The sequence below is a fragment of the Homo sapiens genome, chromosome 10 (assembly GCF_000001405.40).
Source record: "Homo sapiens chromosome 10, GRCh38.p14 Primary Assembly".
NCBI lineage: Eukaryota > Metazoa > Chordata > Mammalia > Primates > Hominidae > Homo > Homo sapiens.
Window position 1 is genome coordinate 13977661 of NC_000010.11, and position 13716 is coordinate 13991376.

Below are 13716 nucleotides of genomic sequence, written 5' to 3' on the forward strand. Positions count from 1 at the left end.
CCATTTCTCTTCATTCCCCCTAGCTACTGGCAGCCTTTAGTCTCCTTTCTGTCTCCATAGATTTGCCACTTTTGGACATTTTATATTAATGGGGTCTTTGTGGCTGACTTCTTTCACTTAGCGTAATGTTTTCAAGATTCATCCATATTGTAGCATGTGCCAGTACATTTCTTTTCTTTGCTGAATAATATTTGATTATGTGGAAAGACCATGTTGTGTTTATCCATGCATCAGTTGATGGACATGTGGGTTGTTCCCACTCTCTGGCTACTATCAATGATGCTGCTATAAACACTTGTGTAAGCATTTTTGTGAGGTGTATGTTTTTCTTGTCTCTTGGGCACATACCTCGGAGTGGAATTGCTGGGTCAGATGGTCATTCTTTGTTGAACCATTTGAGGAACTGCCAGACAGTTTTCCAAAGCAGCTGTACCATTTTACATTTCCACTAGCAGTGTGTGAAGGTTCCAATTTCTCTACCTCCTTGCCAATCTTGTTTCTGATTACAGCCATCCTAGTGTTAAGTGGTGGTGTTCTTGGTTTTCTAGCTGGATTCTATGACGTGGCCTTTGGGTAGGATAGGGTGGAGGCAGCAACAGAAAGGGCTGCTTTTAGGGGGCTGGTGTGCTGTCCCCCATGCTTTAGCCCCCAGCAGGCTGCAGCAGATGGAATCTGGGGAAAAGAGGCTGGAGTACAGAAGAGCCCAGAATGTCCTCTTCCTCTCTCAACAGCCCCTCCATACCTCCTTCTTCTGCTCCTGACTCTCTCACACCCACCATGGGGCAAAAGTCCAAATATTTTTGGAAGTTACCATTTGCCATTTTCTAATCCGGGTTCCACTTCCTTGGAAAAAAAAATGCTATTTAGAAATAGCACTGGTACGGCTAACTGAGTGGGTGATATGCAAAACCCAAACCCAAACAGTCTTTTGAAATCCCAAGGCATTTCAGGATTGCTAACTCACACATTTAATCCCATATTTGGGTCTGGAAAACGTCCCAGCTCCAACCAAGAGTCATCATGGCATCATCGTTTCTCAACCTGAGAACCCAAAAAACTCATTTATATAAATGCTAGGAAACTCACTGTGTTCATCTTGGGGACTGGAGAATAACCTTTTAAAAATGCTTTGCTGTGTATATAAAAATATTTTGGGTCCCTGGGAAAGTACAGGAGAGGCAGGAGCTGCCCTCTGACTTAAGCACTCCCAAGCAGCAAGCCAAGAGCTATGCTTAGAAATATTCCCCTCAAGCTCCACCCATGATTATACAAGTGATCCTATGGCCATAAAAGTGATGTCATCTATCAATTACCCCTTAGGAAAGTAAGCTGCCATATGCACACCAGGCCCCAGTAGAAATAAAACCAGAGCCGCCTGAATTAAATCAGTCCAGGCCATGAGTTGGAAATTAAATGCCCTCAGACCCTCTTTTCTTAATCTCCTGTTATTTGGTTTCCACGAAATTCATCCTTTCCCAAGGATGATTTTTGAGTACGTACTTCGCAAGCATGCATATGTGTAATCAAAGCCTTATGTGAAAAAAAATACATATTTGTTTTGTTTAGGGGTTACATGCAGGTCTGGGGCCTGGTGGGAGTGAAGTTGTAAAGTGGGGGTCCTGCTCATAAGAAAAGGAGGTCTGCTTGCTTGAGAAAGGGGTCCCCAGAGAGAAGGGCAGGTGGGCCTAGAGTCACTTCCTTTTCGCAGAGGACGATTAAGCTGACTTTATGCTCATAGGAGAGTTGTTTGGGAGATAATTAACACTTCCTTTCCAAAGAGGAATTAAGAGGTTAGAAAATGTGTGTCTAGAAGCTGGGAAGAGGTTGGAGGATTGCTCAGTGAGGAGCAGCAAGTCAGTGTCTCTTTCAGATATGAAGGAGGTGAAGTAGAATTTATAAGAGGTAAAAAGAGCTAAGAACACTTTGTTTTAACCTATAACTTAAATTCCTTTGAACTCTTGACTCGTTGGGGGTATTACATTGTTTATAGTAGGTATTAGAGGGGTTTTCAGTTTTCAATGCTCTATTCATTTCTCATAGTCTCTTTGCTCTCTAAAACTCATCTTCCTAAAGTAGCAGTCTTTCTTTTTAAAAAATCTCTAGCGTCTTGAGTGTAATGGGAATGTAATGACTACTGAATGAATGAAACTATGTATGTTCTGTTAAAACACAGGCTATGGCTTCTCTTGCTGCTTTTAGGTGGCCATGCCTACATAAAATCCACCCTGGTGCAGCTGAAACTCTCTAACAGGCAGGGCCATTGTACTTCTCATGTTGGCTTCTCAAGAGCGGGTCTATGAGCACCCCATTCCCTTTCTTATTTGGAAAGAAAACAACACTCACCACGGCATTCACAATGCTGGGGACCTGATGAATGGGAATGGAGAGGCTGCACTAATGTAAGTGGGGTCAACATCCCTGCTGGAGGGCAGATGCAATTTTGGCAAACTAATGACTTTTGGAAGCCATTTTCTAGACTGCATTTTTCTCTTCTTTCTTAGAATGCTTTTCTCAAGGGGAAAAAGAAAGCAGAGGTGTAAATGGTATCTGGCCGTTCGAAGAGCCCGTCTGGGAGACTCTCTGCTGACCACAGCACTGTCTCTCCCCAGGGCCCAGTCCCACAGTGTCACTGAGTCCAGAGTCGGGACTCCAACAAGCCCTCCGCATTCCAGCATGACTGTGGTAAAAACAAAAAAAATCTATTTTATTCTAGTCCATCACATTTTCTATATTTGCTAAAGAAATCTCGATCACTCCATAAATGGTCGGTTAAAATTAAAAATATAGGCTGGGTACAGCAGCTTATGCCCTGTAATCCCAATGCTTTGGGACACTGAGGCTGGAAGATCACTTGAGGCCAGGAGTTCGAGACCAGCCTGGGCAACATAGAAAGACCCCATCTCTACAAAAATAAAAAATAATTAGCTGGGGGAGCCTAAGTCCCAGCTACTTGGGAAGCTGAGGCTGGAGGATTGCTTGACCCTGGGAGTGAGAGGCTACAGTGAGCTATGATTGCACCACTGCACTCCAGCTTGGGCAACAGAGTGAGACCCTGTCCGTAAAAATCAAATCAAATCAAATATTTTAAAAATTAAATTAAAAAAATTGTTCGTTATTTTAACAAAGTCTTCTCATGAAACCACACCCAGACCAACGATAGTAGAAAAATCCAACACAAATAAAACAAAACAAAAAGCTGCCATGAATGATCTGTCTTGAGTTGGTCCATGGAGATTGGATTAGTCAATGAATCAGACTTTTATATTCAAACTCCAAGTGAGTAAGAAAAAAATAAATCCTTTGATATATGCAAAATCAGGCCTGTTTTAGGATAATCTCATTAATTTAGTGAGTTGCCTAGACTACTGCTGAAGAATTTAGGCTGGCCTTTCTCATGAAGATCTCTTGTAGATAAAAATATATGCATTTGGAGCTCTGCTTCTTGGAATAATTTAAATGAGCCTACCTGTAGGTAGTGTGGTGTGTTCTTGATCTGTATTTGACTGAGGATGGTAGATATGGGTTATGATTTGGTAACGAAGCTTGGAAAACCAAGAACTATCATGGGTTGGAGGTCCAGGGAAGTTGTGGAAGTCAGCACAGTGGCACAGGCAACCAGCCATCCAGAATTTAAAGGTCAAGGTGAATCAATGGGTTTAAAGCAGTCAACCAAAGCATCTGTGAATAATGAATCGAGAGTTTAGGTCGACCAGGAGGCCAGAAACTAGGTATGCTGAGAGCAAACAGACTGAAAGGTGTATGAAAGGACAAGCTATGGTGGATAGAATACTTAAGGGAGGCCAGGCACGGTGGCTTACACCTGTAATCCCAGCACTTTGGGAGGCCGAGGCAGGCGGATCATGAGATCAGGAGTTCAAGACCAGCCTGGCCAACGTGGTGAAACCCCGCCTCTACTACAAATACAAAAATCAGCTGGGCATGGTGGTGGGTGCCTGTAATCCCAGCTACTCAGGAAGCTGAGGCAGGAGAATCGTTTCAACTCCGGAGGCGGAGGTTGTAGTGAGCCGAGATCACGCCATTGCACTCCAGCCTGGGCAACAGGGCAAGACTCCGTGTCAAAAAAAAAAAAAAAAAAAAAAAAAAAAGGGAGGCCAAAGCAGGCTGGAGACTGCTCCATCTCCCTGTGACTGCAATTTTCTGTTCTTCCTGTTAGGGCAGGGGGTCAAGCTCCCAGTGGGGATCCAGTGACCTGCAGGTAGAAGCAGGTAGGTGTGCAGGTGAGGAGAAAGTGAGGCCAGGTTACCTGCCGGATTATATGTATTGGGGCTCAGAAAATGTTACTCAAAAATGAAAGCCTTAGAAGCAGCTCTCTCTGACCTTTTCCCATCTCTGATCCTCCCGTCTCTGGCCCCTCATCCTCCCACAGGCGTAGCCATACAAACTAGAATCCCTCTTCCCCAAGGTGGTTTCTGGAAACCAGAACCCTTTTTTCCCAAAGCCAGCCATAAAACCTAAAAATGTCACTTGAAATTTCCCCTTTTACATCTTTCTATGTTAAAGCTAAACACAAAGAAATTCTCAGCTGGGCATAGTGGCTCATGCCTGTAATCCCAGCACTTTGGGAGGCCAAGGCAGGAGGATCACTTGCGCCCAGGAGTTCGAGGCCACCCTGGGCAACATAGGAGGACCCCATCTCTGCAAAAAATAAAAAATTAGCTGGGCACGGTGGCATGCGCCTGTAATTCCAACACTTAGAGAGGCTGAGGTAGGAGAATGACTTGAGCCCAGGAGGTCAAGGCTACAGTAAGCTGTGATTTCACCACTGTACTTCAGCCTGAGAAGGGAAGGGGAGGGGAGGGGAGGGGAGGGGAGGGGAGGGGGGGGAAGGGATCCTCTGACCTACCTTGTTTGACTGTAGGTCATAAGACCCCCATTCCAGAGAGGGTCCTGCCCTATACCCAGAAGGAAGGAACGCTGCTCAGAGAGGCCAAGAAGAATCTAGACAGACAGGCCTTACTGGGTCTTCCCACTCAGTCCATTAGACACATTTTGTCCAGTTGTATTATCTACATGGCTGCCCATACTTCACTGAACCTAAGCATAAAAATAGACAGTTTGCCTGTATCTTTGGGTCTTTATTTTGAAGGCTCCTGTGTCGCATAAAAGTATGATCAAATAAATTTGTATGCCTTTTCCTCTATGAATGTACTGATTTTGTCAGCTAATTTTCAGCGAACTTTCTGAGGGCAAAGGCAAAGATTTCTCCTCGCCCTACAGGTGCATCAGCCAACAAGAAGTCCCTCTATTTGCAGGTCCTCTTTGTCCTGTCAATTTCTTTCTTTTAATTTCTTTTTTCTTTTTTTGAGATGGGGTCTGGCTCTGTCGTGCAGTGGGAAGATCTCGGCTCACTGCAACTTCTGCCTCCTGGTTCAAGTGATTCTGGATTCTCCTGCCTCGGCCTCCCAACTAGCTGGGGCTATAGGCGTGTGCCACTACACCAGGCTAATTTTTGTATTTTTAGTGGAGATGAGGTTTCACCATGTCGGCCAGGCTGGTCGCCAATTTCTGACAGAGGCCAAGTGTCCCATATAAGTGAAATATTTACTTAACCCAAGGCTCAATGTGTTCCTAAATTTGCAAGCAGTCCTCTTCCTCATTTGCAATAAAGCAAAGTTCATCCTCCCCTGAGCCGAGGCAACCGTGAAATTGACAAGCCAGGAGCTGGGAAATGACCGATGCAAAGAAGAGCAATGCCCTTTAACGCTTCAATAGAAAAAAAACGTAATTACATCCTCCTAGGCCATGAAGGCATTGAAAATCTATAAGGACAATGAGCTTAGACTTGATTGTTCGAGTCATCAAAAAAACCCAGAATATATATATATTTTTTTCCAGAAAAATGTTTCTGGGTAGTATAATTTGAGGTAAATTATACTAAAATATAATTCCCTAGAGAAGAAGGAAATTGGTTTGAGGTATTGGTTATTTCCCTCTTGTTGCAGAAACAAAAGTGGTGATTTAGAATTCAGAGACCAGGAGATACCTAGGAGGTGAGAGCCATCTGTTAGATCTGTTAATGTTTCTTAATAAACTGGGGGCCGGGCGCGGTGGCTCATGCCTGTAATCCCAGCTCTTTGGGAGGCCGAGGCAGGCGGATCACCTTAGGTCAGGAGTTCGAGACCAAATTCGCCAATGTGGTGAAACCTCGTCTCTACTAAAAAAAAAAACAAAAATAGCCGGGCATGATGGCGGGCACCTATAATCCCAGCTACTCGGGAGGCTGCGGCAGGAGAATCGCTTGAACCTGGGAGGCAGAGGTTGCAGTGAGCCGAGACTGCGCCACTGTACTCCAGCCTGGGTGGCAGAAGGAGACTCTGTCTCAAAAAAAAAACAACTGGGAACCACGGCTCCTCACTCAGCTGGAACTAGGGGTCTCGGTAGTGAGCCACTGATGAGGGGCAAGTCTGAGGGCCCCTTCCTGAGTCTGACCACGGTGAAGTGGCCTGGGGTGCTTTCTGCAGGGGGCACGCCAGCTCCTTCAGCAAAACCCAGGACAGATTTCAAAGCGTTAAAACCAGAGCAGCCCACATGGCGGGGTTTTATGAAGTCGAACGTGTGTCCAGAGCCCAGGGGTGAAGTTTCCCCTTGTGGCCAGGTGAACAGCCCCTTCCTCATTTCATGTGTGATGGATGGAAGCACCTACCTGTGGGCATCCAACCCCCAACCCTTTCAGTTCCAGATACTGACCTATTTTTATTGTGGTAAAATATACGTAATACAAACTTTACAATTTTAACCATTTTTAAATGTGCCGTTCAGTGGCATTAAGTATATTCACAGCGTTGTGCAGCCATCTCCAGAAGTTTTTCAGATTGCAAAACCGACCTCTGTACCCATTAAACAGTAACTTCCTATTCCTCCCCTCTCCATCTTCTGGTAACTCTGTTTTGCTTTCTGTCCCTGTCGGTTTGACAATTCTTCGTAGCTCGTATAAGAGGAAACATATTATTTGTTTTTTTGTGACTGGCTTATTTCACTCAGCATAAGGTGCTCAGGGTTCATCCGTGGTGTAGCATGTGTCAGAATTCGCTTCCTTTTTAAGGCTGAGTAATGTTCCATTGTATGGAGAGACCACATTCATCCATCAGCGGGCACTTGGGTTGTTTCCACTTTTTGGCTACTGTGACTCACGTTGCTGTGACTAAGAGTGTGTAAATATCTCCCCAAGTCCCTGCTTCCCATTCCTTTGGGGATTTACCCAGGAGTGAGACTGCTGGATCCCATGGCAATCCTGTGTGTAATTTGGGGGAAGCTCTGTGCTGTTAGATACTGATCTTTCCCACCTACTATTTCTGCCACAGGCAGCGCTTGCTCCACTCCTGAAGCAGGCAGGGACGCTGCCCACAGACATGCCTGCTGACATCTAGGAGTGGCTTAGCCTCATGAGCCCTGCTGGTGTGGGCTTCAGGTAACCCTGTGCTCCTTTGACTCCCAAGGTGGCTGGCTCACCCTGACCTTTCCTCCGTCTGCTTGGTTTGCCTTCGCATTCCGGGCTGGAGTGGGAGCTTAGCTCTGAAGTCCGGCTCACGTGTTTGGCCCCTAGGCCCCAGCCTCGCCCTCGGGTGTCCCTCCTCCTGCATACTTGGGGCTGGCTGATCTGCTCACTGGGACCCTGGAGCCTTGGTGGTAAGGTCAGCTGGTCTCTCTACTCAGGACCATGGGACAGGGAAGGAGGCTGGAATGGAGGACGCCTGCTGAGCACCTCCCACTGGCCTTGGGTGGTTTGAGGGGTTGGTGGCTACAGGCTGATTCTGGCTCTAGACTCATTTAAATCTCCTTGAATGTAGGTAGTCTTCAGGGAGTGGGTGTGAGTTCAGGTCAGGCCTAAGAGCCTGGAAAGCCAGGCATATGCTAAGGTTGGGATGCCGGAGAGAGAATAGGATCCTTTTAGATGTGAAGAAGGGCCCTGAGCTGGGAGCAGGGTTAGCAAAAGCCAGCCATGGAACCATGTCGCAGCCCTGGCAGGCACCAGTCTCCACGGGAAAGCAGAGAACAGGTCCAGGCTGAGGGCATAAGCCCACTGGGTTGGCCTGGGTTTGGGAAGAAACAACCACAGCCTAGGGCACAGGAGGGCCCCTGGCCCATCCTAAGCCTTTGACACAAGCTTTAGAGCAGGTTTACACTGCTCACTAGCGTACAGCCGCCCTCTAGAAGTCTGCCAGCCCTGGCGATGCTGATTTAGGAACTGAGCAGGCTGGCAGCTTTTCACACCTGCAGCTGGGAGGGATGAGAAGGTGCAATCTGGCAGGACAGCACCAACTGGCTCCAAACGAAGCCCCTCCCCAGCCCCACTGTCCCGACACTGCAGCCACCCGTGGCTTTGGTCATCTCTTTTGTCTAGAACTGAGAGTTTCTAGGGGCTGCTTGGATTCTGCACAATGACTGCAGGCTCCCTTCCACAGGCGTAGACATTACAGCCACGGCAGCAACCCTCTCCCACCTGGGTCCTCCCTTCCTGTGGTCCCAGGGTGTCAGCCCTGGCTGCCCATGGGGGTCCCCTGGGAAGTTTTAAGAAAGTATGTTTATTGCGGCACTATTCACAATAGCAAAGACTTGGAACCAACCCAAATGTCCAACAATGATAGACTGGATTAAGAAAATGTGGCACATATACACCATGGAATACTATGCAGCCATAAAAAATGATGAGTTCATGTCCTTTGTAGGGACATGGATGAAATTGGAAATCATCATTCTCAGTAAACTATCACAAGGACAAAAAACCAAACGCTAAATGTTCTCACTCATAGATGGGAATTGAACAATGAGAACACATGGACACAGGAAGGGGAACATCACACTCTGGGAACTGTTGTGGGGTGGGGGGAGGGGGGAGGGATAGCATTAGGAGATATACCTAATGCTAAATGACGAGTTAATGGGTGCAGCACACCAGCATGGCACATGTATACATATGTAACTAACCTGCACATTGTGCACATGTACCCTAAAACTTAAAGTATAACAATAATAATAAAAATAAATAAATAAATAAAATAAATATAAGGAAAAAAAAAAAAGAAAAGCTTTTCCCTGCACCCCGCTCCTAGAGATTCTGATTTTATTGGTCTGGGGGAGGGACTCAGTATTGTTATTTTTGAGAAGCATCTCAGGGTTTCTAGGGTACAGCCAAGGAGAAGAACCACTGCTGTAGACCCCTAGATCACCAGGTCTTGGTGGCTTGCAGATGAGTTCTTCAATTCACAATGGAACCTAAGGGTTTCGGTCAGTGGTTCTCATACCTGTATGAGAATCACCTGCAGGGCATGGAAAAACATGTCTGTAGGGCCTGGGAATTTGCATTTCAAACAGGTTACCAGGAGAGGCTGATGTTCTGGCTATGTGACTACACTTTGAGAGCCATAGATCTAGGCCCTCAGATCTCACAGATCTCATAGATCTAGGCTCGTAGCTCAACCTTAGTTCTTGGACTTAGGGTGATTGAGAGAAATAGAAGCAAGCTGTGTCCGTCACTGTACTTAATGTTTACAGCTTCATATTTTCACATGGCTTCGAAAGATCTGCCACTTTACCTCTGAACTATCGTGGGATAGAAACCCCAGCAGAGCAACTGGCCCATGGAAGGAGTTAATAAACGATCCTTCCCCCATATGCAGAATGGAAAATCGACTCTTAAGAAACTTCCACCCAACTTTTTCCCACCCCTCCCATGAAAAAGTTAAATCGTGAAAAGAAATATTTTGTTTAAAGTAACAGGATGTCTCCTTCCACCATGAGGGCCCACTTACAGACTTGAAAAGCCTGAATATTAGTAACATGCATTTATTTCTACATTAAAGTCATTTCTTAATGATGTGATATTTCAGTACTTGAGTTCGCCCAACGTCAGGAACCAAGCAGCCAAGCTGAGACCCTGATCACTCCCTCCTTTGTCTCTGGATGGGAGACTAGAATATTCAGAGGTTACAACCTGCGGCCAACAGAGCATTTTGACTCGTTATAGAAATGAGTGACTCATCCATGGGTCATTTACTCATCCGTCTCTCTTCCCCGACCACGAGGAAACTGCAGGGGACACACTTACTTTTCTTTAACTCGATGCACAAAGAACACAAATGTTGCTGATTCTGAGACCTGACTTCCTGTTATTAAAGAGGACATCGTACAATTTAACAGAACAAGATTTCTAAGCAAAGCAGAAGGTCTAATGATTTCAGAGTTTGCTTCCTACCTACAATTAACTAGGTCACAGCTGTAAAGGAAGAGAAAAAATAAATCACTCCAAACCAGGAGCACTCAATGTCATCGTGGCCAAAAAATAAACACTTCAGTTTTTCTTTTTTAAAAGAGGGGACTCTCAATTTAACAGAAACAAGCACATTTGATATACGCTAGAAAATAAAAAAAATCTGATCAGACAGTAGGCAAAAGCAGTGTCTCAGGCCCACTTATTTAATAGTTACACAAAACAGAGGAGTGAAAATAATGTACTTCATATCTAAAGGCTACAATATGCCTCGTATCCATGCAGAACACTTCTTTAGTATTATACACAACCGTAAAGACTCCCATTTGGTCATGTAGGAGTTACAGAGTTTTTAAGGCCCAGGACTGCTCAGGTCTGTAGGACTTCGCAATTTGGCAAATGTGAAATTCTCATAGTGGACTCTTCGACCTTGGTAGGATGTCACAGAGGAAGAGATCCTTTTAGAGTGGATTGTATTTTTAAGTATCCCCAGTGCCCAAGAAAGGAATGCTTTCAGACAGGGACATTTCAATGTGTTTAGTCCCTTCCTTTCTCTCTTATGATCACCTCCACCAGGAGGATTTTGTTTCTCTTTGAGTGGGTTGTACAGTCACTACTAATTTTGTCTAAGTGTTTGCATAAAATAGCTGTGGGAAAGATAATTAATGGATGGATGGATGGATAGACAGATATCTACATATATACATAGATAGATGAATGGATGGGTACATGGATGGATGAATTGGTGGATAGATACCGATGGATAGATACCGATAGATCGATAGATAGATAGGTCTCTATAGTTGAACAGATGGATGGATAGATAGATGGATGAACAGAGAGATCTCTATGTAGATTTCTATAGAGATCTATCTGCCTATCCATCCGTCTATCTATCTATCTACCTACCTACCTACCTACCTGAAACAAAGATGAAAAAGAAAAATAACCTATGAGCATGGACGTCAGAGAGGATACTTTAGATCCTCGACCTCAAAATGCCCTTTATAGGCTCCAGCCTCAGCAACTACACGGGAACTTGGAGGAATGCAGACTGCATCTGCATTTAGTAAAACCCCCAGATGATTCCATTATAAACTGACGCTTGAGAAGGTGTGCTTTAGGACAGTGATTTTCAGTAACTTTTTTTTTTTGTCAATTATGGAAATCTTTTCCCAAATGAAATATTTGGTGGGGACATAAGAAATATCTTAGAAGCAGAGCTCTGGTTGACCAGGGGTGAGGGGGGTCTCAGTCTTCCAGCCCCCTAGTGGCACCTCCCATCCCACACTGCGTCTTAGCGGTAGTGGCTCCTGCTTCTGAGTGGGTATCAGGGGTCCTGGTGTTTTTGATTATGTTGCACCCTAACACCTACCAGCCCAGAGGCTACCATGTTGATTCTTCTGAACAAAGAAGCCCTGGCATATTATGGATGCTCAGGTGATATTAGATGATCATTAGTAATTGATTTTTTTTTCTTTTTTTTGAGACGGCGCCTCGCTCTGTCGCCAGGCTGGAGTGTAGTGGCGCCATCTTGGCTCACTGCAACTTCCGCCTCCCGGGTTCAAGCGATTCTCCTGACTCAGCCTCCCACCACGCCCAACTAATTTTTGTATTTTTAGTAGAGATGGGGTTTCACCATGTTGGCCAAGAAGATCTCAATCTCTTGACCTCGTGATCCACCCACCTTGGCCTCCCAAAGTGCTGGGATTAGAGGCGTGAGCCAACGCGCCCAGCCAATAATTGATTTTAAATAAGAATACATGGACAGGTACAGCTCAGTTGTTCCAGAGATGGGCATCAGAGGGGAAATGGAAGCAGGGAGACAGCCTATTGATGATGAGAGGAAGACAAGACAGAGGGCAGAGAGATGGGAGTGGCCCTATAGTTAAGAGTTGCCAGATAAAATACAGGACACCCAGTTACATTTGAATTTCAGACAAACTCCATGGAACATGCTTAGATGAAAGAATGATTCATTGTTTATTGAAATTTGATGTAACTGGGCATCCTGTATTTTCATTTGCTGAATCTGGCAACCAGACCTAGAGTTCCTTTCTAAAGGGACACTTTTCTCAGCAGCTTGGATTCCAAGGGTCTCACTCTAGGTTAGACCCCCATTTAGATTCGCTCTGGAGAGTTTTCTGAAGTCAGACTACCTGGGTTCAAACCCTGGATCTGCCACTGCTGGCTGCGTAACCCTGGACAAATGACTTAATCTCTCTCTATTCTCTGTTTTCCTATTCTAGAAAGTGGGGTTAGGAATAAGAGCCAACCTCAAAGGGCTGCTCTGAGGATCAGAGGAGAAAACAGCTGCATAGATTAAGCACATAGAAAGAGCTCATTAAAGGTACTTTCTATTCTTGGCTGTGCTTCTGGGTCTCAGTAACTTCCCTCTCTGCCTGGATTTGCTCCTGGCCATTTTCTTGGAGAGTGAGACCCATCCAGAGGGGAATGTGGGACAAGGAGGGAGGAGGAAGTAAGGACTGAGAAGGCCCAGAGACGTGCCTTCCTCTTCTTTCCAGGGTCCTGGCCTGTCTTGTCTGTTGGGCGGGTATGCTTCCTTCCTGGCCTTCCTTGTGGAGCATGTCTGGGAGTGTGCTAGGAAATGAGGGAGGAAAATATGTAACTTGATATCTGCTCCTTGACCCTGGCTGACCTGGTTAACTCTCTCCAGGATGGAAGCAAAGCCTGCCCGGGAAACCTTCCATTGCAGGAACATCTCGGCCTGAAGCTGTCATCAGGGAGCAGGATCTGCTTCCCGGACTCTGAGCAGAACAATGGGAGCCCCAGCAGGCTGGCGAGGCTGACAAGCCCTAGGACGGTGACCTCTCCGATCTCCAGATCGGAAACTCAGAAACGTGTAAGTGCCAGAATCCGCATTTGGGAATCTGTTATTTCTCCCTCTGCGAGTCAACCTGATCACCCTGGAAGCCTCACTGTCTCTCAGCCCTTGTTCCCATTTTTCTTTCCATGAACACCGCAATCAGATACGAGATTCCAGTAATGATGGTTCTTGAAAATTAAACAAATCAAAAAGAAAGCCAGCCAAGGTATGGAGTGGGGGACCTCTAAGTTCCCCTGGAGGAGACACTGGGGCCAGGTTCCGAGGTGCATTCGGAGCCAGAATCCCTAATGGAATTGAACAATTATCCTGAAGCTGCTCTCTGAAAGCCGCGGTTTTCCTAAAACACTGTGCTTGGCGTGCCTGGGCTTCTTGGCACTGGCCCATGACCCACAGCAGCAAATCGTTCCCAGGAAGCTATTGTTATTTGTGTATCTGATAGCATTCAGCTGAGTACACTGACAGCAACATTTAGAAAGGAAAAGAAAAAAGAAGCGTAGAGTGAAAAGGACAAAAAGGAGGCTTCCAACATCCTGGTGGGAACAGAAAACCAGCAAAGCCTCTTTTCCAGCCCTTATCCTTGTGAGTTTGGACTCTGCAGAACTGTCATCCCCCAGGCATAGCTGCAGCTTGTATGAAGGTG

At 45.8% G+C, this 13716-nt stretch overlaps 1 protein-coding gene across 2 annotated transcripts in view; it reads right to left on the bottom strand.

Annotated features, from left to right (window-relative positions):
* Positions 1-13716, bottom strand: part of FRMD4A (FERM domain containing 4A) — a 687219-nt gene that overhangs the window by 333955 nt on the left and 339548 nt on the right. The gene's annotated exons all lie outside the window — the stretch shown is intronic.